This window comes from Homo sapiens, chromosome 20, assembly GCF_000001405.40.
Source record: "Homo sapiens chromosome 20, GRCh38.p14 Primary Assembly".
Classification (NCBI taxonomy): Eukaryota; Metazoa; Chordata; class Mammalia; order Primates; family Hominidae; genus Homo; species Homo sapiens.
In genome coordinates this window covers 53,731,589-53,755,835 of record NC_000020.11, presented here as the reverse complement: position 1 = coordinate 53,755,835, position 24,247 = coordinate 53,731,589, and the positions used below count along the sequence as shown (strand labels likewise).

The following is a 24,247-nucleotide window of genomic DNA, read 5'->3' as shown; positions in this document are numbered from 1 at the left end:
CTTGAGCCCAGTTTGAGACCAGCCTGGGCAACATGGTAAAACCCTGTCTCTACAAAAAAATATAAAAATTATTCGGGTGTGGTGGCATATGCCTGTGGTCCCAGCTGCTTGGGAGGCTAAGGTGGGAGGATGATTTGAGCACAGGAGGTTGAGGCTGTAGTGAGCCATGATTGTGCCACTGCACTCCAGCCTGGGTGACAGAGCAAGACCCTGGTCTCAAAAAAAGAAATGTGGCTGAGTGCAGTGGCTCACGCCTGTAATTCCAGCACTTTGGGAGGCCGAGGTGGGTGGATGTCTTGAGGTCAGGAGTTCGAGACCAGCCTGGCCAACATGGAGAAACCTCATCTCTACTAAAAATACAAAATAGCCGGGCGTGGTGGCGTGCACCTGTAATTCCAGCTACTTGGGAGACTGAGGCAGGAGAATCACTTGAACCCAGGAGGCGGAGGTTGTAGTGAGCCAAGATCACACCACTGCATTCCAGCCTGGGCGACAGAGTGAGACTCTGTCTCAAAAAAAAAAAAGAAAAGAAAAGAAATGTGTCCACAGTCACACAACTTTAAATGGCAATTCTTCATTGCACATGTGGGGCATGTGACTTCCCACTGGCATATTAACGTCACATAGAATATCTGTAAGCCCATTTAGACTCAAGTGAGGCATTCTGAAAGCAATTCCCCAGTTTAGTGGTATCCACTCTGTTTATTTCAATACGTGGCTCTCAAGACCATAATTCGAGAAAGATAGTTTATTAAGGACATAGCTTAATGGTACAGTTTATTCAAGCACCAGCATCTTTCCATGCTAAAAACTGAGTGAAGACATAATCCATTGCTAAAAAAACCCCGGTGCCTTTTCTGGGATATGTAGTCCATGGTATTTTTTAATGAGTCTCCAATGGCTACTCTGCCCCCCAATAAACTCCCATGAAGGAGTTTATGACCCAGTCCAAAAACTCTGGCCTGGTTCTATCACATGCTTAATTTTGCCTTCTTGGTGCTTCCTGTGTACCAAGTACTTCATATACAATTCAACCTTTAATCCTCATCACAAGCCTTTGTGTGAGCTCAGCAGCATCATGCCAGTTTTTTAGATGGAGACACAGAGACTCAAAGACATTGAGGATCCTCCCCAAAGTCTCACAACTAGTGTGTGTGGGAGCCACAGCATCACCACAAACAGGAAGTATGGCCCCACACCAGGGCTCCCAGCCAACAGAAAGGAGTCCATTGCATTTTAGCCCTGCCTCCGCTTGCCACGCAGAGCTCTTGAAGATCCCCTTCAACGCCATCAACCCAAAAAGGCAGCTCCTGCCCTGGGCTGTGGAGGGAGATCCTCTTTTTCTAATTAGCACAGAGTTCTCAAATGGGTTTGTGTTGGTGGCAGCCAGCTTAAAATGGAATGAATCCATGCCTAAGGGTATGTTTGCATGTATCACCAAGGCAAGGATGGCGACTGAGTTTTTCTTCCTTACCAGACTTCAATAAGTTTCTTCACCCCTCTATGCCTCAGTTTTCCCAACTATAAGGTGAGGATAATAACAGCATCTACCTCATAGGGCTGATGTGAGCACTAAATGAATTAATACTTGTAAAGCAATGTAAAGCACCTAAAATAGTGCCTGACATATATGTGAGCTGTGATTATTATTATTGTTGTTATTTTTACATCACTTTTGCACATGCTAGAAACCCATTATTTGCTACACACAGACACACACACACACACACACACACACACACACAGAGAGAGAGAGAGAGAGAGAGAGAGAGAGAGACAGAATTCCTAATTTGCATGTTTTGCATTTGGCCCAGGTTACTTTTATTTGTTTTCCCTTAAGCAAAGACCAACAGATCATCAAAAGGCATATCTAGATTCTGCCTTTTGAATTACTGTTGTAATGAAAAGGGACTCAACATTTAGATCAAAGTCTACATTTAAGACAACGTAGTCTAAAAGTTAAGCAGGGTGGGGCGGGGGTGGGGGGAATAAGAACCAATCCCGTTCTTTTGTTTCCTGCTGTGCTGTGTCATAGTTGTTTTCCATTCTCTGATTCAGGCTTCTTTCTGTAAATGAAGGGCACATCCCTGGAATAAACGGAGCCTACGATTGTCTAGAATTATTATCTGTGTCTGCAGAATCACATTGCCACCCACTCGCAGGGATCTAGTACGGTTCTCTAAGACCAACAGCTGCACAACCAGCTCAGGTAATAAACAAAGCAAAAATAGTCAAGTTCCTGGCAAGACTTACAAATGCTTCTGGCACGTACCTGATGACAAAGGCAAAATGAATCCCTTCCCAAAAGTCTTAAGTAAGGATTTGGGGTGCATTGTGCTTAAGTAAGCCTCCTCTCTGGATATTTTATTGAGCTTATCGAGATTTTTTCCATAACTTTTAGTACAAGATGAATCCTGGAGGAGATGCTTGAATACAACCTGCTAGGAACTATACTCGCCCTCACTGAAAGGTTGAGTAAAACAGACTAGGAATCCTAAACTCTCTGACCAATTGTTTACATGCATGAGTTAGCCTTTTATGCATTTTCTCCCGCATCTATAACACGAAGATTGTTTACTCTGACAACCTCCCGGGTTGCTAAGAGAATCGAATAAGAAATAATATGATAATAGTGCTTTGAAAAGGACAGTAACAAAACCTAACGTTTCGATCAAGCTTTCAAAGGACCTTTTCTTTATTTTATTTGATATATAGAAACAAAATGTTTTTTGTTTGAGCCTCATTTAATATGGACATATTCTAAAAGGTGATGGCACACAGACTGTTTCTAACACAATCCTGTAGCCTGAAAGCCCCAGAGACACTGACGAATTTTGCCAACAAGAAGACTATCTTATAAAGTTAAAAATCCCAAACTTAAGAAAATCATTTCCCCCTTGACAAGTCTTAATCAAAATCTGCCCATGCTGGTCATTTATTCTTTCAGCGCATGTGATTGAGATTCCAGTAATTAAGTATGCTCTTCTCCTAAGAAAAGCCTGTTTCAGGTTCATAACCAGGAAAGCTTCTCAACCGGAGGTGTTGCCGGCAGCCACCATTTGTTGAATTACTGGTGTCCCTGCAAGTGGAGATGAGGCAGAAGGGGGGTGCCTGTTCCCAGCTTTACCTACCATCACCACCTTCCTTGGGCTCCTCTTTCTCTTCCTATTTTCTACTTAACCCAATTTATAAGGAATAAGTTAAACAAAAGTAACAAGCAAGTAGTGAAACTTCACTTAAAACAATCTAAAAGCCAGAATGCAACCTGATTGTTTTACAATAGAGTAACCAAAGACCCCAATTTTTTTGCGCACAGTCTCAAGCATCCTCAAGGGCCTAGTGTATCTCTCTTAGGCTCTGGAAGAGGCTGGTTTTTAAACAGGATTGTTTTTCTTTAATATTTAAAGATATTGTTTTATGCTTTCATCTAGTATGATGTGTATTTTAAAGAATAGAATGTAAACAACATTAGTCATTTGGATGTTTCCTATGCTTTAAATACACATACACACATACACACACACACACACACACACACCACCACAGCAGTAAGCTGAAAGAAGAGTTAATAACTTTAATAAAAGTTAAATAAAAGAAGAGTTAATAACTTTAAACAGAGGTCGAGAGAAAGCATCAAACATTTATTTTTTGTTCAACAGGGAAATTTCAATACTGCTTTATGGAGTCTACCTCGTTCCGGGCGGGGTAGAATTCCAGATTGGCTTCCAAACATGATTTCACGAGGAATGCCTCGAACCAGGAAGTTCTTTCATGTTCTGAAGCCTCCTGATTCTTAGAAATTAAAGGGCTTTCTGTTTATTATGTAGTTGTTTGCTTGGGTGTTTGCTTTTGCCAGTTGACTTTATTTATTTTTATTTTAGATTACAGAAGTAAAGGAAAAACACTGTAGTATATATGACTGAAAATAGAAACTCACCCTTCTCTCCCTCTGACATGGCTTTCCCCACCCCCACCCCATTTTTTATTTACTTCCTGTGTTAATGGTAAGAGAGTATTCTTCTCGTCCTTTTTTAAATATTTTTACACATCTAAACACACACACACACGTGCAGATACATGTCCTTTTTTTAAACGTAGAGGAAATCATACAGTATTCACCTTTCTACAACTGTGTTTCAATCAACAATATTGCTTGATGGTCTGTCCTTGGCCAAACCTATAGCCTATCTTATTCCTGAGGCTTTTTTGAAGACTTTTGCTCACTTAAAACCACGTTGATTTTCCACTGCCTTCTAGAGGCAACCTCACCTCCTCTCAAGGAAGCTTTCAAGCACGCAAAGCAGGCTCACTTCCTCTCTTGGCTGGAGGAAATTAGGCCTTCACACTTTCAGAAATAGCATCACTGTACCCCATTGCCTTATTCTGGTCTAAGTATCCAACAGACAAATTATCCTTTTCCTGTTAGCTGTGACTTTGAGTTTTCAGGACCGGAGCAGTTCCTAAAGTCAGAGAGAGAGAACGGTAATCATTTTTTACAGGGAGTGTGTCTTGATGGAGACAGAGGTTTAACCAGTGACAAACTGCTCAGCACAGCCCTGCCTGGCTGGAAAAGCATCTGTTTTCACTCCCTCGCCTGGTTACTAGTGGGTTCTGTCGCCTCATTCATAAAGATGAGATCGCTGAAACAACAGGCAGCCACAAAGCTCCAGGAAATATAACAGCATGCAGCTCCTCTCCAAGGTGTGAGTCTGTGTGTGTGTGGTGTGTGTCCATGCATGTTTCGCACGCACACTTACAGCTGCAGCACGGGGCTTAGAAAGATGTTCTGCCAGAGAAAGATAGGAATCTCCCTAGCAGCAGGCAAAACAGCCCAGGAATTGGAACAAGGCCCAGTCAGCCTCCTTTACTCCTTCGTTCATGCAGTTAATAAGCATCAGTCTACCTCTCTTAAGAGAGCCTAGTGGTTAGAGACTCAACTCAGAACTCCGATCCCTGGATTCCAGTCCAGGCACTGTCACTCACCGGCGCTGGTATTTAGTGTCTCTATTCCTCAGCTTTAAAATGACGTAAAATATACATCCAAATTTATTATCCAAACCCTTATAGCCCAATACACTTTGGAATTCTACACTTTTTATATTTTAGAAATGTAATGCGGTGCCTATATCTGATATTACATTGCACCTCCAGCGGGGTCGGGGCAGCACTCCCTGTACCATCTGATACATCAATATATCCACAAAGAAACATACAAAGATCTGGCCAGGCGCACTGGCTCACGCCTGTAATCCCAGCACTTTGGGAGGCCAAGGCGGGCAGATCACAAGATCAGGAGTTCGAGACCAGCCTGGCCAACATGGTGAAGCCCCATCTCTATTAAAAATACAAAAATTAGCTGGGCGTGGTGGTGGGCGCCTATAATCCCAGCTACTTGGGAGGCTGAGGCAGGAGAATCGCTTGAATCAGGGAGGCAGAGGTTGCAGTGAGCTGAGATCGTGCCATTGCACTCGAGCCTGGGTGACAAGAGCAAGACTCCATCTCAAAGGAAAAAAAAAAGGAAAGAAACATACAAAGGTCGCATTAAATGTGAGAAATATAGGCCGTGCTGGGATTACAGGCATGAAATATTTCTCACATTAAACATGGCGAAACCCTGTCTCTACTAAAAATATAAAAATTAGCCAGGTGTGGTGACGGCTGCCTATAATCCCAGCTACTCGAGAGGCTGAGGCAGGAGAATTGTTTGAAACCGGGAGGTGGAGGCTATAGTGAGCTGAGATCGCACTACTGTACTCCAGCCTGGGTGACAGCGCAAGACTCTATCTCAAAAAAATAAAAATAAATAAAGATTATTAGTAGGCGTAGAGAGCCGAATAGAGTCTCCCTGCTACTCCCAAAATTCATGTCTGCCCAGAACCTCAGAATGGTACCTTCTTGGACATAGGATTTTTGCAGATGTAATTGAGTAAGATGATATCATACAGGATTTGGGTGACCCTAAATCCCTCAGGAGGACTGGAAATCAATTTTTGACATTTTCAGTTTCTGTGGTGAAAAACCAATACTGCTTCCTACCAAGAATAACAGGGGAGAAACTCCCCAAGTTTAACAAGCAGGTTCAGATGGGAGACCAAGGATAAGTGCCCCCTACAGTTGATAAAGACCCCTAATCTCAGAACTTTCTGGACACAGAAAAGCAAGAACTTGGATAACTGTTTTTTTTTTTAAATCTAATGCAGCCTACACTGGCCAAAGACCCTGTTTAAATACTTTTTCAACGTTGTCATTTAAATGTAAGACTCAAATCACTGATAGGTGTCCTTAATTTCTAGAAAAGCCTTAGGTAAAAGATTCACCATACCCCTGGAATATATTATTTTGGTGTGGGTGGCACTGTTGTGTAGCTGTTATTTTCCCAGGCTCTGCCTCTGTCTTTGAGAGCATCACTTAAGCTCTGTAAGCCTTGATCTGCGAAATCGGGATGAGGATAATGGCAGACAACATTTACCAAGAGCTTGCTGTGTGCAGGCAGTAGACTCTGTCTCACACGCCTTCTTACTTAATCATCACCATCATTATCCCCATGTTGCATATGAGGCCCCTTCTTGACAACTGCAGAGGGGAAAACCAACAGCACTATTTTCTACTTTGAGCTGTGCTACACCACTGCTTGTAAAGTTTTAACAACTTACCTAGCAACTGACAAACTTACACAGCTAGTGAGCAACAAACTAGATTTGAACCCAGCTCTTATCCAATCAGTGCCTCCTTTTTCTTGTCTGTACCTCTACCTTGTAAAATCAGAAAAGCACAGAAAGCACAGGAAGCCATATGGCTGAGAGCACACACACACACACACACACACACTCACACACACAGATGCGCACACACACAGACACACATGCACACACACACGCACACACACACGCAGACTGGTATTACTTTACTTCTGACAAGTTCTCTGAACAGCAGTCATAGCACTCTTTATTCCTCTCTTTTTTTTTAAATAAGTGCCCACTGTCTGCCAGGATTTTAACCACATCATCCCTATCCTTGCCACAAGCCCTGTAGTAGACATAGTTGGTTACCAGATCTGTACTTTACTTGAACATACTTCAGTGTAATTAATCAGCGAGCTAAACTATCCATACAGTGAGTCTAAGCTTGGCTGTATAATAAGAGGGGTCAGCTAATCAGCAATGAAGAATATGTTGTTCAGGATGGTTCGCAAGCACAATGTTAGAAAGGTCCACACTCCGGCCACAGGTATTGCGAGTGCTTCCTGCAGTTCAGGAATAGGGTTTCTATTGGTGAAACTAGTGACTAGTTAATTTGCATGACGATATTACAAATGGATTTTCATTGGTGGAATTAAGGTACTCAGGACAAGTAGATTGACTAGAATGTGATACAGGATGCAACCCTTTACCCTTCACCTATACCCTTCCCTGCCTCATTCACTAACTGATTCTGTTCCAGTCACTGGTTTAAGAGAATTTCTGATTGCCTCATACAGGCCAGAGAGCACAGGGCCCAGCTTTTGGAATGTTGTTATGCCTGCTTTGAATACACCCTTCCTGCAGGGTGTGACCAGAGCACCTATAAGAACGGAGTGCTAGGCTGTATAGGGTACATAGGATGACTATCATTAACAACAATTTATTTTATATTTTCAAATAGCTACAAGAGTGGATTCTGAATGTTCACAACACGAGGAAATTATGAATGTTAGAGGTGATGGCTATGCTGATTATCCCGATTTGATTATTACACATTGTATACATGTAGTGAAATGTCACGCTGTACCCCATGAATATGTATCACTATTATGTGTCAATTGAAAATAATAATATACCAGTCATTTGATTCCAGCCAAAAACTAAATTAAATTTAATAATAAAGATAATAATAAAGGAAAAAAAGAACAAAATGCTGGGACTTTGTCAACAACCTTTCAGAACAGGTTGTATGAACTGTTTTGTGCCTGCTTTGCTAATAAATATTTGGCTATAAGAGTAGTAGAATTTGGGCCGGGCGCAGTGGCTCACTCCTGTAATCCCAGCACTTTGGGAGGCCGAGGTAGGTGTATCATCTGAGGTCTGGAGTTCGAGACCAGCCTGGCCAATATGGTGAAACCCCATCTCTACTAAAAGTACAAAAATTAGCCAGGCGTGGTGGTGGGTGCCTGTAATCCCAGCTACTTGGGAGGCTGAGGCAGGAGAATCTCTTGAACCTGGTAGGGGGAGATTGCAGTGAGCCAAGATCACTCCATTGCACTCCAGCCTGGGTAACAAGAGCGAAACTCTTGTTTCAAAAAAAAAAAAAGAAAAAAACAAAAAGAGTAGCAGAATTTGGACTGACATTTGATTGAATGATTGATTGAGTTTTTGAGACGGAATCTTACTCTGTCACCCAGGCTGGAGTGCAATGGTGTGGTCTCGGCTCACTGCAACCTCCGCCTCCTGGGTTCAAGCCATTCTCCTGTCTCAGCCTCCCAAGTAGCTGGGATTACAGGTGCCCGCCACCAAGCCTGGCTAATTTTTGTAATTTTAGTGGAGAAGAGGTTTCACTATGTTGGCCAGGCTGGTCTCGAAATGCTGACCTCGTGATCCACCCACCTCGGCCTCCCAAAGTGCTAGGATTACAGGCGTGAGCCACCGCGCCCAGCCAAGATTTGATTTTATGATAAACTGTAGCTAGGTTGTGGGGGAATCACTAACACTTACCTCCACCAAAAATAACCTAAGAATTGCTCCATGCCAATGGCTTAGATCACAGGAATTGACATGCTTCTCAGGAATCCTCACCTATGTCTTCCTTGACTAGGAGAATCCCTACTGGTTCAGCCTTTAGTCAGCAATATATTCAGAGGAGATGAGTCCAGGAGATGAACCATGATTGGTCTAAGCCAAGAGTCAGCAAACTGCAACTGCAAGGAATCTGGCCCACCATCTGTTTTTATAAATAAAGTTTTTGGCCGGGTGCGGTGGCTCACGCCTGTAATTCCAGCACTTTGGGAGGCCAAGTCGGGCGGATCACGAGGTTAGGAGATCGAGACCATCCTGGCTAACAAGATGAAACCCCGTCTGTACTAAAAATACAAAAAAATTAGCCAGACATGCTGGCGGGCGCCTGTAGTCCCAGCTACTCGGGAGGCTGAGGCAGGAGAATGGAGTCAACCTGGGAGGCGGAGCTTGCAGTGAGCTGTGATTGCGCCACTGCACTGCAGCCTGGGCCACAGAGCGAGACTCCGTCTCAACAAAAAATAAAAAATACATAAAGTTTTATTAGAACACAGCCACATCCATCCATTTACATGTTTCTGCCTGCTGCAATAGCAGAATTGAGTACTTGTAACAAAGATTTCAGGGCCTACAAAACTGAAAATATTAACTATTTGGCCCTTTATAGAGAAAGTTTGTCAACTTCTGGTATAGAATGATGCTAATCAAAGTGTGTTCTATAAAACAGAAGCATTGGCATCCCCCAAAAGCTAGTTAAAAATGCAGATCCTCGTGTCCCACCCAGACCCACATGGAATCGGAATAAGTAAATATAAGCATGAACATGTAGATTCTAGAAATTAATCCTCTTAAATCAGTACAGCATGCTCCTGTTTTTTGTTTTTTTCAAACAAAATTTCTCACATATTTATTACTGAACCCAGCCTGCTAGCTCAGAGCATACAAACAGAAAAAATACATTCCCAATAAAACATGTCCGATGGTTCAAATAGTGGTGACATTTTCAGCTTGATATGGTAAGATCATCATGACCTTGATACAGCATAAATATATGCTATCTCGTGTGCAATTCCTTATAGACCCAATGTCTATAAGGTTCTTCTCCAATGTCACCTTTCAGAGTTGTACCTGATTTTTTTTTTTTTGAAGCAGAGTCTCACTCTTGTAGCCCAGGCCAGAGTGCAATGGCGCGATCTCGGCTCACTGCAACATCCACCCTCTGGGTTCAAGTGATTCTCCTGCCTCAGCCTCCCGAGTAGCTGGGATTACAGGAGCATGCCACCATACCTGGCTAATTTTTTTGTTTGTTTGTTTGTTTGTTTGTTTGTTTTTGAGATGGAGTCTCACTCTGTTGCCAGGCTGGAGTGCAGTGGCGTAATCCCGGCTTACCACAACCTCCGCCTCCCGGGTTCAAGCTATTCTCCTGCCTCAGCCTCCTGAGTAGCTGAGATTACAGGCACGTGCCACCACACCCGGCTAATTTTTGTATTTTTAGTAGAGATGGGGTTTCACCATGTTGGCCAGGATGGTCTCAATCTCTTGACCTTGTGATCCACCCGACTTGGTCTCCCAAAGTGCTGGGATTACAGGTGTGAGCCATCATGCCTGGCCATTTTTTTGTATTTTTAGTAGAGATGAGGGTTCACCATGTTGGCCAGGCTGGTCTTGAACTCCTGACCTCAGATTACAGACGTGAGCCACCATGCCTGACCTGTACCTGATTTTATTACCAGTTTTCATCTGAATCCACTGGGGATTGGAACGATTTCGCTTTTGTTCCTTTTTTTTTTTTTTGAGACGGAGTCTTGCTCTGTAGCCCAGGCTGGAGTGCAGTGGCGCAATCTCGACTCACTGCAACCTCCACCTCCCGGGTCCCGGTTCAAGCAACTATCCTGCCTTAGCCTCCAAGTAGCTGGGATTACAGGCATGCACCACCATGCCCAGCTAATTTTTGTATTTTTAGTAGAGACAGGGTTTCACCATATTGGCCAGGCTGGTCTTGAACTCCTGACCCCATGATCCACCCACCTCAGTCTCCCAAAGTGTTGGGATTACAGGCGTGAGCCACTGCGCCCAGCCTGCTTTTGTTTCTTGGCAGGAATCGCTTAATCCTGAAAGTCTTGTGAGAAGACATGGCAAGAAGCAGAGTCAAGCGCACACCACGATGGCGGAGAAAGGAAGATAGAGGGGGCATGCTTCTGTTTTAAGACTACTATTCCACAATATTCCATTGGGTTGTTTGCAGATTAAATAAGGTAATACAACTAAGCAGTTAGCACAATACACAGCATGTACTCAGTGACTGGTAACTTACTGTTTCCAATCACAAATGAATGAGGAACACCTTGCTCCCCTGTCTGACAAAGGGAAAGAGAAAGAAAGATGTTAGGAAATCAGAGCCACATTTCATAGACCTGAGGACAAACCCTCAGGTAACCTTGGCACTTAGAAAGCAGCACCTAACGCATGCCTGTAGTCCCAGGTACTCAGGGAAGCTGAGAATCACTTGAACCCGGGAGGTAGAGTTTGCCGTGAGCTGAGATCGCGCCACTGCACTCCAGCCTGGGCGACAGAGCAAGACTGTCTCAAAAATAACAATAATAGAAAGTTTAAAAATAAAAAAAGAAAGCAGCACCTAAGACCCTCAAGCTTGGACAAGGGTTAAGTGACTCCTGAATTGGGAAAAGTCATAAAGAATCAACATATTTTCTCAACATACCACGATGTCTCCCACTTCAAGAAATGTGGCTCCAGCATGGGCAACATGGCAAAAACTCATCTCTACAAAAAAATACAAAAAGTAGTGGGGAATGGTGGCACGTGCCTGTAGTCCCAGCTACTTGGGAGGCTGAGGTGGGAGGATCACCTGAGCCTGGGAGATTGAGGATGCAGTGAGCCATGATCGCGCCACTGTATTCCCACCTGGGTGACAGAGAGAGATCCTGTCTCAAAAAAAGGAAGGAAGAAAGGCAGGCAGGCAGGCGGGAAGGGGGAGGGAGAGAGAGAGGGAGGGAGAGAGGGAGGGAGGGAAGGGAGGGAGGGAGGGAGGGAGGGAGGCTTTGCTGTTTCCTCTGCCTGGAACTCTCTTCAGGGGTCTAGATCTTCACCTCGTGGCTTGCGTTCATCATTCAAGCCTCTTCCTTAGCCTCTGCGGCCCCTATTGCTGCACCCAACTTTGATCACTTTCTGTCTCTTCTATCCCGTGTCGTTTCCTTCCTAGCATTCCTCCTCTTCACCTGAAAATATCCTGTTCATTGACTACAACTGAGTTACTATCTGTCTTGTTCACTCCCGGATTCCCAGAACACAGGGCAGTGCCTGGCACCTGGTATGCTCTGAAGTAGGTAAGAATTTGCCTGAATGAAAAGACGAACAATCGAACACAGGCCTCCTCTTAGAGGAAAAAAAAAGTATGGGATTTGAGGTCATTCAGCCATGTATTAGATGAGGCACCTGGTGTACCTGGGCCTCGTTCTTATCTAGAAAATGAAAATGACATCTGCCTTATAGAGTTATCAGGAAGGCTTGGCATAGAATATTCAGAACTCAGAGCAAGGGGCCTGGAATTTTGGAAACACAGAAGATATTATTTATTTTTATTTTTATATTTTATATTTTATTTTTTATTTTCGAGACAGAGTCTCACTCTTGTCGCCCAGGCTGGAGTGCAATGGCACGATCTTGGCTCACTGCAACCTCCACCACCTGGGTTCAAGCGATTCTCCCGCCTCAACCTCCCAAGTAGCTGGGATCACAGGCATGTGCCACCCCATGCCCAGCTAATTTTTATATTTTAGTAGAGACAGGTTTTGCCATGTTGGCCAGGCTGGTCTCAAACTCCTGACCTCAAGTGATCTGCCTGCCCCGGCCTCCCAAAGTGCTGGGATAATAGGTGTGAGCCACCATGCCCGGCCTTAAATTTTCTTTTTATAAATAGAGAAGGAGTCTCACTCTATTGACCAGGCTGGTCTCGAACTCCTGGCCTCAAGAAATCCTCCCATCTCAGCCGCCAAAGTGCTAGGATTACAGGCGTGAGCCAGTGTGCCCAGACAGAAGATACTATTATTAATCTTGTTCACTAACATTTTTAAAACCTGGATATGTTATGTGGCTACATTCATCGATCCTGGAAACCCATGAAAAATTAAGCCATATTAGAACACTGAAAACAGCAATTTAGCTCACATGGCAACACGAATCAATTTCCAAGAGCCAATCCCCAGTTTACCTATCTGTAAATATCACATTCAAACATGGAAGCTTCTTACTTTAACAATGTATTCTACTTGCAATTTTGCCAATAACATATATGTGAGGTGGGGTGATGTGCATGTCTGTAGTCCCAGCTACTCCAGAGGCTGAGGCAGGAGGATCACTTAAGCCCAGGAGGTCGAGGCTGTAGTGAGCCATGATTTTGCCACTGCACTCCAGCCTGGGCAACAGAGTGAGACCCTGTGTCAATAAATAAATAAATAAGTGCAAAATGCTTATCGGAATAAATAAATAAATAAAATAATATATATGAAAAATAATGTTTGTCTTCTGGAAAACCATTTTTTTCATTATTTTGGAAATTTCCCTAGCATATACTTTTGGTTTTTAGATAAGCATTTATATGTAGTTTCAATAAAGCTGATGAGGCAGAAAAGGTTTTTCCTTTGTTGTAAATTCAGGATATAAACATTTTCAAGTTTTGGCGGAAAAAAAGGAGAAAGGGGGAACACAAATTTTAAAAACTTTGTTTTGTTTTTAATTTTCCTGGACCCCTAATAGATTCAGTTATCTAATAACTATTATTACTTTTGACATTTTAGTTTTGTTTTTCCTGGTCAGCATCACATTTTTAAAATGAGGCATTTTTCTAGCCAGGCGTGGTGGCTCACACCTGTAATCCCAGCACTGTGGGAGGCCGCGGCTGGTGGATCACTTGAGGTCAGGAGTTCGAGACCAGCCTGGCCAACATGGAGAAACCCCATCTCTACCAAAAAGACAAAAATTAGCCGGGCGTGGTGGTACAGGCCTGTAGTCCCAGCTACTTGGGAGGCTGAGGCACAAGAATGGCTTGAACCTGGGAGGTGGAGATGCAGTGAGCTAAGATCACACCACTGCACTCCGGCCTGGGCTACAGAGGGAGACATCACCTCAAAAAAAAAAAAAAAAAAGGTATTTTTGGAGCAGGACATATGTGAGATTAAGAGCACGGGCTAGGATAATCTAGATCAAAAATCTGTAAAGGTTTTTGTAAAGAGTAAATTTTTGGGTTTCATGGGTCATACAGTGTCTGCTATTACAGCTGAAAAACAGCCACAGGCCATATATAAGCAAATAAGTCTAGGTTCCAATAAAACTTTATTTACAAAAACACATACTGAGCAGAATTTGGCCCTCAGGCGGTCATTGCTAACCCCTGATCTAGAATTATATTCTATCTCCATTTTCTAGCTGGGTGATCTGAGCCTCCACTCATCTATAAAACGGAGATAATAATTATACTACCTCATTAGATTCAGAGGGTGAAATGGATCTGTGTATAAAATACTTATTCCATGTAGGAGTTCAATAAACATTACCTGTTATTATCGTTTTCCTTTTTTTTACAGTAGGAAAATGAAGCAATCTGCCCAAGTCATGAAATTAGGAGGTGTCACACTCTACTGCACAGCCTCCAGAGGAGGTTTCCATTGCCCGATTTAATTTGATCTTAGCTTAGCTTTTGACTAAAAATGCCTTTTCCCTCTTTCCTAAGCAATTCCTTTCAAGGCAAAGTCATCAGAAAGAAAGAAGAAAAGAAAAAAAGAAAGAGAGAGAAAGAAAAAGAAAGAAAGAAGAAAGAAAAAGAAAGAAAGAAAGAAAGAAAGAAAGAAAGAAAGAAAGAAAGAAAGAAAAAGAAAGAGGGAGAGAGAAAAGGACAACGACAGAGATCTGTAAATGACCACAATTGATTAAACTCTTCGGGGAGAGAGATAATAACTCTGCCCTGCAAGTGTTTCTTCTGCCCAATCTCATCCCCTTTTTGGAGAAAGAAATTGTCCCCCAAGATTGTCCCATTTTGTCCTAAGGCTGGGGCTGGCCTGGAGAGAGCCTCTGAAGGCTTATCATGAAGCTACTTCCTTTAGGATACGGCACCATGATCACTGTGGCAAAACCCACCTTTATTTTCTCCATTAGGTAACATCACAGAGAAAAAAAAAGATCTCATGGGATTTTGCCTTTTTTTTCTTTTGGACATTTTTATTGTGTCTGGGTTTTCCACTCAAGTTTTTAGGATTTCTGGCATCAGACACTTGCCTTTGTCTCCCATTTCTTTGTGGTGATTGCCAAATGCCCACATACTATTTACACCTCCCATTCTCTCTAGGGTTTCTAATGCCTCTCTTTCTTATGACTAGCATTTCTTCCTAAACCTTTGCCTCTTTTTTCCTAAGCAGCAGGAGAGCTCCCAGAGTCTCAAGATAAACAGTAAACAAGATTGTGCATTTCAATGACAAATACAACAGGCAACCTATTTTTTCATCCCCACGTCATTTTTAACTTGGGGATGGTTACTTCTTCGGTTTTCCTTCTCTGAACATTGTCAGGCCCTGTTCCTCTTTCGTTTTGGTCTTGTTGCAATCTCTTCGTGAATTAATGTTTCAGTGAGTGTACTTGTGACAAGGCATATGGAGCGGGCCTCCTCTTTAACTCAAATTTCCTTCTTCCCAGGCACAACAGAAATTTGCTGTACACACTGCAAGACAAAGAACAAAAAGACCTCACTCGCTGAGCGAAAAGATCCAGTCGTATACATGATTTCACCGGGTTTCCAACTGTATAATGAAATCGAACTCCTCCCTCGGGAGGGGGTTCCCTCCCCCACCTACTGCACACACAAAATTCTACCCACTTCTTTCCAAGGACACACTTTGTTCTAAATCCCCAGTGGCTTTACTCCTGCACACAAAAAAAGAGCAGAAGTCTGCACCTAAGTTGTAAGCGTGAGCTGCGATCTTTCTCTGAGCCCAAGATGAAAGGAGTAGATGGAAAGGAATTACTCAGTGTGAAGTATGCATTTGTAATAAGCAGGCATGGGATGCTATGTAGTGATCTTGACATGGCTGATAGGGGATGAGGAGGTGAGGATGGGATAGACTTTTTCTTTTCATTTTCATGAATCTCTTACTCTCAAGCTGAAGGAGAGACTAAAAACCACAGGAAAGGGCACGAGTTTATTATCACAGATTTTTAATGGGTTAATAATGTTCTGCTTAAAACCCTCGTTTTAAAAAAAAAGTTAATTCGATCCATTTTTCTTTGGATTACAGCAACTTTAGGACAGGTGTGGTGTAATAGGAGTCGCTTTCAGAAAGGAGTGAGTGTGTTTGAGCAGAGAATCACTGGGTACACACCAGACTACTTATTGTAGCACTGTTTGTAGAAGCAAACACTGAAAGCCACCAAAAAGTCTGTGAAAAAGGGCAAGTGAAATACATTAAGGAATACCATTTAAAGAAATACTATGCCACCACTTAAAACATCAAGTTTTTCTAACACAGAGTGCTGTCCAAGAGATTTAAGTGGAAAATGCAAGCTGAAAGATACTTGTGTAAAGACAAAGAAAGGTGTGAGCGTTCGATATGCATATATGCTGATCTATGCGTGGACTATTTCTGGCATGAGACACTACAAACTGCTAATAGTCATTGTCTGCGGGGGAGGAGGGAGACCCACCCTTCCCCACAAGCCCTATAATTTGAATTTTCCCCAGGAGCATGTATGACATGGTTCCCCAAAATTTATAGCTCACTAGAAAAATACCTACATTGGAAATTGTCCATGATCGATACTCAAAGTGAAAAAAGCAAGTTGTATAACAGTGTCTATAAATATGATACCAGTGGTGTATTTAAAACAAAGCATGTGTATTTGTATATGTGCATTTTATGGAAAACGTCTGGAAAATATGTTTCACACTGTTAAAAAGTAGTTATTAGCTATCTCTGGTGAGATCATGAGCTGCGTGGGAGTGAGCAAAAGGAATGAGGAACTTCAACTCCTTTACCTTAATTTTATACTGTTTGAACGTTTTAAAGAGATTAGGTATGACTTCTATTTTAATTTTTAAAAACTAAACTGAGAAAATTATGTAAAGAAATGGTCACAGGAAATGGTCAAATACTGGCCCACGATACATGAGAAATGCGTGCCCTGTCTTTCCAGAGAAATCGAGCTCCCAAAAACGTTTGCGGTAAATCCCTGCTTTTTGGCTCCTCAATAATGGGATATTATACTGTACCTTATTGAGTACATTGGAGTTTTTTTCCCTTCCCTTAAATGCTATTTGCTGAAACTGCTCAAAAAGACTTTCCGAGGTGGCCCCGTTGGTGTCTTTGTTCCAGCCCGCCCGCCCCGAAAGGCAGGAGTCTCTCTGCCTTCAAGGAGCTGGAAACGCAGTCACAGCTCTCTCACTACAGAGGCCGGGCTTGTGGCAAACCAGGAGTCGTATTTGTGTTTACTTTCCTGCCTTGCGCAGTTGAGCTGCACTTGAGTGACTCCCATTAACAAGCATGAAGTTACTTAATGGCCTTGCCTGTCTGCTGTTTTCTGTTACGCTGCCATCCTGTGAACGGCCTTCTGTGTAAGTCACATTTGACAGTCTGCGTCTCAAATATGCTCTGAGAGTTGGAAAAGCCTCTCAGACAGCGTTTTCAAATGGGATCCCATGGAAATAGCCTCTTGCTTCTCAATTAGCTCGAAGAAGGCCCCCCACCCCCGTTACGTTTTCTTCTGCCTTAGGCATGTGTGAAAATGATGCGGGAAAAAGAGACACTTCGGAGATCATTTTCAAAGTCCTTATGTGAATCCTAGTTTCTAGGTGCTTACACTGCAATTCACCTACTGAAATAAACATATTTGGCAAATAGACATGATCTGCTTTCTGGGATTGATAGCAAACACTGAAGATCAAATAACAGCCCTAATCATTTCTGCATGTGCAGTTTTCAGGCGGTTCCCAGTCCTGTGACCGGGAACAAAGTTTACAGTTTATCAAACTTGCAGTAGTTCTGGGCTTTGCTCTCTTCTGGGCAGCGTTCTCTTGCTCCCGCGATGTTCTGTTTGAAGTCCTCTGCCCACTCCCCAAATTTTAACATGTAATTTATGACCTTATTATTTTATTCAGGAGGGAAGGATCAAGTGTGGAAGCCAAAATTATCCAAATAAGGATGGTGCTGGAACAACCTATGATCTGAAACTGGGGGGTGGGGGGCACGCCCCGTCTACCTCTGAGGCAGCTGGAATGTCTGCTAATTTTGATCACTTGAAAATATAATGGCTGCGTCTGCAGGTATTTCGGAGAGATCATTTAGATTCCTTTAAATGTAGGTGAAATGTTACAATAGAACAGGAATGGACTGTCTCTTGAGATGAAAAAGGGAACCACTGGCTATTGTCTGACCTCCCCAGTGCCTGATTGACTAGTAGAAATCACATCTCCATGGGAACAGATAAATGTCTGCTTTTCATGGCGTGAAATAACCAACTTAGCCCGCAAAGCCTCACCAACCTAGCACTTTATCTGGGCGGCTGTAAGCAGCCTCTCCCTTTTCATGTTCAGCCAAATTATCTGCCAGAATTTCTTTTCAAGTCTAGGGGAAGGGAAAAAAAAAAGGGAGTTTCCTCCCTCCATCCCCCCTCTGTATGGAGTTAATTACTGTATTTTCATCTGGGAGGGTGAAAAAATACACACGGAGCTGAAATAGCACATGAAACAACGGCTGACATGGGCTATCTGCCTGTTGTTGATTAGCTTTTGGTGATTTTTGTAAAAAGTATTGAGGTCTGCTGCTGTATTTGAGAAATGTCAGGAGGGTCAGGATGCAGCCTGAGAGGCAGGTCCTGGGGATGGTTGTTTTTTGTTTGTTTGTTTGTTTACTGTTGTGCCAGCATTTGGCTGTGTGACCTTAGAAAAGTGGACGCCAGCTCTGTTTTGTGATCTGAGAAAGGAAGGTAAGGGGAAGGATATTGTGATCCGAGAAAGGAAGGTAAGGGGAAGGATAAAAAAACAAATGCCGGAGAGTATCAGGTATCTGCCTCCCCTCCCCCTAGAAGCCCCAACATCTGCCATTTTAACTTTCTGATCACTGATCCAATGCTCTCTGCCAGCAAAATTAGAGAACAGCTCTCAGGAGAGCAGGGGCTTTCTCCGGTGGTTTCAGACACTTCAGCTTCTGTTCCTGGTTAAAAATACCACCGGAAGCAGCATTTTCTGATGATATTACAACACTTCCAGTCCAGCTTCTGAATCAGAGGAAAAAAAGAAATGAAAGGGGAAAAAAATAAAAAGAAAAGAATGCAGGTGAAATATACAGAGATATTTATCCATCCACCTATTTTTCAACACACGAAGTTGAGCTCTTAGGAGGAAAATGTCTTAGCCTGTTTGGTTCTAAAACTGGGCACAAGAATGTGTGCGGGTTCTTTATTTTATTGGAATCCATTTGCCCGTTCCTATTATTCCCTGCTTTGTCCTTGGAGCTATTTGCTCCTTTGTCTTTCTCCTCTTCCTCAGCACCTCCACCCACCCACCCACCCAACAAGTCTGAGCAGGAAAAGTGTAAAGCCCAGTGAACTGCAAACCTACTAGGCATTTTTCAAAAGAGTCCAGGTTAAAGATACCTGCAGGGAATTTGTCCATGAAGCAATCAAGTCTCAACTCCAGCTCTTCCGTGGACGTGATTCCTAAATATCAAAACCCCAGCGGTCTTTATCTGGACCAGCTGCTTCTGATGTCGGGAAGGAATGTGGCACATCAAGTGTGTGAACACTGCCTCTATTGTATCCAAACAGGCTGATTGAAGCCTGGATAATTGGCATGTAACCTTCTCTATTAATAGTGCAGACAGATATGTGAATTAGCTGAATCCCTTCAACATATGCCATGCATTAGCTAAAGGGGCTTACAATTCTCTTAACATCTCAGCTATTACACCAATAATTAGGCTTTAGAACTTGATAACTTTGGGGGAAAATCAATAAATAATGGGGAAGTTGAGCACTACCTCTGAATAAGAAGTGACTGTAATATTATCGTTCAGTCCAGCACTGAGAGTGGTCATCATTGATTATTTGGGAGCTTGAAGGTTTGGGGCTTTTGGAGAGAGACAGAGAGAGAGAGAGAGAGAGACACAGAGAGAGAGAATGTGTGTGTGTGTTGCTGAAGCTAAGTTTCTGGAGGAGATTATTAAATTTCAGGAGTCTTTGTTTGCCTTCTAGAGCCATGGAGGTATATAAATAGCAGAGTAATACACTTATGTCCTGTTTGACTATCTTGTAAAGGAACCTGCCCTGCCGTGGTTTGAAATACTGGAGAGGCTATTTAGAGCTGTGCATTGCTAAATACCTGGTTAGTCTCACATCAATTCCTAAGGCTAAAGGAAATACCATAGGCTGATGATTAAGAGCATAAACTGCAGCCAGACCGCCGGGGTTTAAGCACAGCTCTCCGACATACTAGCATGTGACCTTGGGTAACTTGTCTACCTCTCTGTGTCTCAGTTTCATCATCTGGAAAACGGAGAGATAATAATTCTTAGCCCACTGGCACACTGTCATTGTAAGGATTATTAAGTTATTACTTACAAAATGTTCAGAACAGTATTGGAGTATAAATAAGTACTTTTCCTTTTTTTTTTTTTTTTTTTTTTTTGAGGCGAAGTATTGCTCTTGTTGCCCAGGCTGGAGTGCAGTGGCACAATCTCAGTTCACTGCAACCTCCACCTCCCGGGTTCAAGTGATTCTCCTGCCTCTGCCTCCCGAGTAACTGGGATTACAGGTACCTGCCACCACGCCCGGCTAATTTTTGTATTTTTAGTAGAGATGACGTTTCACCACGTTAGCCAGGCTGGTCTCAAACTCCTGACCTCAAGTGATCCTCCCACCTTGGCCTTCTAAAGTGCTGGGATTACAGGCATGAGCCACTGCGCCTGGCCTACTTGTCCCTTTTCATTGAATAAATATGCATTGAAAGTGTTTTTCAAACTGCAGGTTGTGACCTGTCAGTAGGTGGTAAGATCAATTTAGTGGGTCATGGCTATTACTTTTAGTTGGAATGGAATTAGAATAGAATAGAATAGAATGACATATAGGTAGGATAAGTACTATTTTGTGAAACTTTTTGCTGTGTGTGTGTGTATTTGTGTGTCGTATGTGTATATAGTAGTTAACAATGTAAAAGTATTTCTTTTAATGGATGAAGCTAGAAAATTTTTAAAAACTTGCAATGAAATAATTTAAAATCTGGAAACAAGCTAAATACATAAATAGATTGGTTAAATTATCTTATATCCACACAATGAATTATCAGGCAATTATTAATAAGAAAGAGATCAACTTCCAAGTGCTTATGTGTACCGGTCTCCCAGAAATATTATTCTGTAAAAACAGAAGGCATTGCAGAGTGTATTTATTACAATTCAAAAGGAAATTTTCTTTGGGGTGTGTTTGCTTTAAGAACATTGAAACTCATTCTGCTGGCTGAGAGACCTTGTGCTAAGTGGAGTCTGATCTTCCCTGAGGATCACTTGCTCAGTGATTGGCGCCCCCATCCATCCAGTTGAGTGAGCCCAAAGCCTTGAAGTCATTGTTGACATGGCTCTGTATCTCACTCACCATAGGGATCCAAAATCCTTTCATTCAGCTTCATCTTTACCCTTAACACCTATTCCAAGCTTCTGTCATCTCTCTCCCGGACAACCACATCAACTGCTAACTCATCTCCCTGCAGCCTCCTAAGCAGTCCCCCTCGCCCAAGCCTCTTAACTGGTCTGCCTTGCACACACTCTTGTTTCCTTCCCTTCCATATCCCCACCTTAGCCAGACCAACATCCTCCGCTCTCCCTTCCTTGTTTAAATTCTTGCCATGCTTCCTTGCTGCTCTTGGGACAAAGACCAAAATCCTACTGTGGCCTTTGTGTTAATTTCCTACAGATGTCATAGCCAAGTACAACAAACTGGGTGACTTAAAACAACAGAAATTTATTTCCTAACAGTTCTGGGGGCTAGAAGTCCAGAATCAAGGTGTCGGGAGAGCCACCTTCTTCTGGAGGGGAGACTCTTTCCTTGCCTCGACCTACTTGGCAATCGATCCTTGACATTCTTCGCAGCTGGTTCACTCTAATGTATTCCTCTGTTGTTACATGGCCTTCTCCCTGTGGATCTGTGTCTTCTTTTTTTTTTTGAAGCGGAGTCTCAATCTGTCCCCCAGGCTGGAGTGCAGTGGCGTGATGTCGGCTCACTGCAAGCTCCGCCTCCCAGGTTCACGCCATTCTCCTGCCTCAGCCTCCCGAGCAGATGGGATTACAGGCGCCCGCCACCACGCCTGGCTAATTTTTTGTATTTTTAGTAGAAATGGGGTTTCATCGTGTTAGCCAGGATGGTCTCAATCTCCTGACCTCGTGATCTGCCGCCTCGGCCTCCCAAAGTGCTGGGATTATAGGCGTGAGCCACCGCTCCTGGTGATCTGTGTCTTCATATAAGAACACCAGTCCCATTGGATTAGGAACCCACTCTACGGTATGACCGCATCTTCACTAATTACATGTGCAATGACCCTGTTTCCAAATAAGGTCCTACTCAGAAATACTGGCAGATAGGGCTCTACTTCATCTTTTTGGAGGGACACATTCCAACTCATGACAGGCTTTGAGATGCTCTTCAGCTAGGCCCATGTCTCCCACTCTGGCTTTCTCTTCTGTCACCCTTTGCCCTATTTTTTGATTCTATGCGCACAGCCCTGTTTCAAATGGTCCAGGTTGCCTCTTGCCACAGGATTTTGCTCAAATGTTTTACATTTCCCCCTGCTTGGAATATTTTCCCCTTCCTCACTCCAACCTCTATTCTCATTTCACCTCTAGATCTTGGCTCCCTTGTCCGAAGGGGACGCCTTTCTTAAATGACTCTGCCCCCCAACAAAGTCAAATTCCTTTAATTCCACAAAATTTTATAACACCACTTCTTGTTTGCTAGTCTTGTCATGGGTGTAGCTTTGCATTTATCTGCTTGTTGGATGACTGTCTTCTACTCCACAACACTAAAAATTCCTGGAAGGCAAGAACAGTGTCTATTTTTTTTTTTTTTTTGAGATGGAGTTTCACTCTTGTTGCCCAGGCTGGAGTGCAATGGCGCAATCTCGGCTCACCGCAACCTCCGCCTTCCAGGTTCAAGCGATTCTCTTGCCTCAGCCTCCCAAGTAGCTGGGATTACAGGCATGTGCCACCACGCGAGGCTAACTTTTGTATTTTCAGTAGAGTGTACCAATACTATAGGATGGGTTCCTAATCCAATGGGACTGGTGCCCTTATAAGAAGACACAGATCCACAGGGAGAAAGCCATGTGACAACAGAAGAAGACATTGGAGTGAACTAGCTGCAAGGAATGTCAAGGATTGATGACCAAGTAGGGCGGGGTTTCTCCATGTTGGTCAGACTGGTCTCAAACTCCTGACCTCAGGCAATCCGCCTGCCTCGGCCTCCCAAAATGCTGGGATTATAGGTGTGAGCCAAGGAGCCCGGTCAACAGTGTCCATTTTTGCTCACCATTTTATTTATCTTCATCTCTTAGCACAGTACATAGCATCTACTGGGCACTTAATAATATTGTTGGATAGAGAGATGAATGAATGAGTGAATGAATAAATGACACATAGATTTTTCTTACATTCAGTTCATAAATATAATTCATGACTTGCAGGTAAGGAAGGCAGAAGATTATTATATACAGGGTCAGTTTCCATAAATACTAATCACACATTCAAGAATCTTGGCCAGGAGGGGTGGCTCATACCTGTAATCCCAGCACTTTGGGAGGGCAAGGTGGGTGGATCACCTAGATCAAAAGTTCAAGACCAACCTGGCCAACATGGTGAAACCCCGTCTCTACTAAAAATACAAAACTTAGCTGGGCATGGTGGCAGGTGCCTGTAAACCCAGCTACTCAGGAGGCTGAAGCAGGAGAATTGCTTGAACCCGGAAGGGGGAGGTTGCAGTGAGTCGAGATCACACCACTACACTCCAGTCTGGGTGACAAGCGTGAAACTCCGTCTGAAAAAAAAAAAAAGAAATTGTGTCGATGGTTTTTACAAGAGGCATTTTTTAAAAAATTGATAATTTTTACAAGAGGCATTTAAAAAAAAGAACTTTTGCCAATTGGGACTTCTCAAAGGAATATGACTTATCTGGGAGCAGTTAGGGCAAACTCATGAAGTAGCTGTGTATCAAAAGCAGGACTAATTTGTAACTTACACCTAAACGTGTGAGAAAATACTCAGCTTCTTAGCTTCTAAATATCTATTGTCATATATCAATAAGAATTTGCAAGATTCCTCCCTGCTGGAACTAACACTAAAGTTGAGCTTCAGGTGCCTTTGTCAGTCCATTCCTGCTCTACGATAAAATGCCACAGACCAGGTAATTTATAAATAATTGAAATGTATTTTTCACAGTTCTGGAGGCTGGGATGTCCAAGATCAAGGCACCAGCAGACTGATTGTCTAGTAAGGACTTCCTGT

The 24,247-nt window shown here is 43.0% G+C and overlaps 1 long non-coding RNA gene across 1 annotated transcript, besides 9 other annotated features; it reads right to left on the bottom strand.

Annotated features, from left to right (window-relative positions):
• Nucleotides 1,099-1,178: an enhancer, noted in NCBI's record as "active region_18135". NCBI's record gives its function as "activates an Ori minimal core promoter by ATAC-STARR-seq in GM12878 lymphoblastoid cells {active_cell/tissue: GM12878}" and the evidence as "EXISTENCE:reporter gene assay evidence [ECO:0000049][PMID:35858748]".
• Nucleotides 1,209-1,258: an enhancer, noted in NCBI's record as "active region_18134". NCBI's record gives its function as "activates an Ori minimal core promoter by ATAC-STARR-seq in GM12878 lymphoblastoid cells {active_cell/tissue: GM12878}" and the evidence as "EXISTENCE:reporter gene assay evidence [ECO:0000049][PMID:35858748]".
• Nucleotides 4,547-5,048: an enhancer, noted in NCBI's record as "H3K27ac hESC enhancer chr20:52367327-52367828 (GRCh37/hg19 assembly coordinates)". NCBI's record gives its function as "activates a minimal SCP1, AML or CMV promoter by ChIP-STARR-seq in primed H9 embryonic stem cells {active_cell/tissue: H9 hESC(primed)}" and the evidence as "EXISTENCE:reporter gene assay evidence [ECO:0000049][PMID:30033119]".
• Nucleotides 6,992-7,585: an enhancer, noted in NCBI's record as "H3K27ac-H3K4me1 hESC enhancer chr20:52364790-52365383 (GRCh37/hg19 assembly coordinates)". NCBI's record gives its function as "activates a minimal SCP1, AML or CMV promoter by ChIP-STARR-seq in primed H9 embryonic stem cells {active_cell/tissue: H9 hESC(primed)}" and the evidence as "EXISTENCE:reporter gene assay evidence [ECO:0000049][PMID:30033119]".
• On the bottom strand, nucleotides 14,036-19,073 carry LOC124904933 (uncharacterized). The gene is made up of 2 exons (XR_007067660.1): nucleotides 16,978-19,073; nucleotides 14,036-15,432 (listed from the first exon to the last, which is right to left on the bottom strand). It is a non-coding gene; the product is annotated as an uncharacterized LOC124904933 (long non-coding RNA).
• Nucleotides 14,972-15,266: a silencer, noted in NCBI's record as "tiled region #8160; K562 Repressive DNase unmatched - State 5:Enh". NCBI's record gives its function as "represses a minimal TATA promoter and a strong SV40 promoter by Sharpr-MPRA in K562 cells {active_cell/tissue: K562}" and the evidence as "EXISTENCE:reporter gene assay evidence [ECO:0000049][PMID:27701403]".
• Nucleotides 17,541-18,444: an enhancer, noted in NCBI's record as "H3K27ac-H3K4me1 hESC enhancer chr20:52353931-52354834 (GRCh37/hg19 assembly coordinates)". NCBI's record gives its function as "activates a minimal SCP1, AML or CMV promoter by ChIP-STARR-seq in primed H9 embryonic stem cells {active_cell/tissue: H9 hESC(primed)}" and the evidence as "EXISTENCE:reporter gene assay evidence [ECO:0000049][PMID:30033119]".
• Nucleotides 18,445-19,348: an enhancer, noted in NCBI's record as "NANOG-H3K27ac-H3K4me1 hESC enhancer chr20:52353027-52353930 (GRCh37/hg19 assembly coordinates)". NCBI's record gives its function as "activates a minimal SCP1, AML or CMV promoter by ChIP-STARR-seq in primed H9 embryonic stem cells {active_cell/tissue: H9 hESC(primed)}" and the evidence as "EXISTENCE:reporter gene assay evidence [ECO:0000049][PMID:30033119]".
• Nucleotides 19,349-20,254: an enhancer, noted in NCBI's record as "H3K27ac hESC enhancer chr20:52352121-52353026 (GRCh37/hg19 assembly coordinates)". NCBI's record gives its function as "activates a minimal SCP1, AML or CMV promoter by ChIP-STARR-seq in naive H9 embryonic stem cells {active_cell/tissue: H9 hESC(naive)}" and the evidence as "EXISTENCE:reporter gene assay evidence [ECO:0000049][PMID:30033119]".
• Nucleotides 21,520-21,720: a silencer, noted in NCBI's record as "peak4271 fragment used in MPRA reporter construct". NCBI's record gives its function as "represses an SCP1 promoter by STARR-seq MPRAs in K562 erythroleukemia cells {active_cell/tissue: K562}" and the evidence as "EXISTENCE:reporter gene assay evidence [ECO:0000049][PMID:32103011]".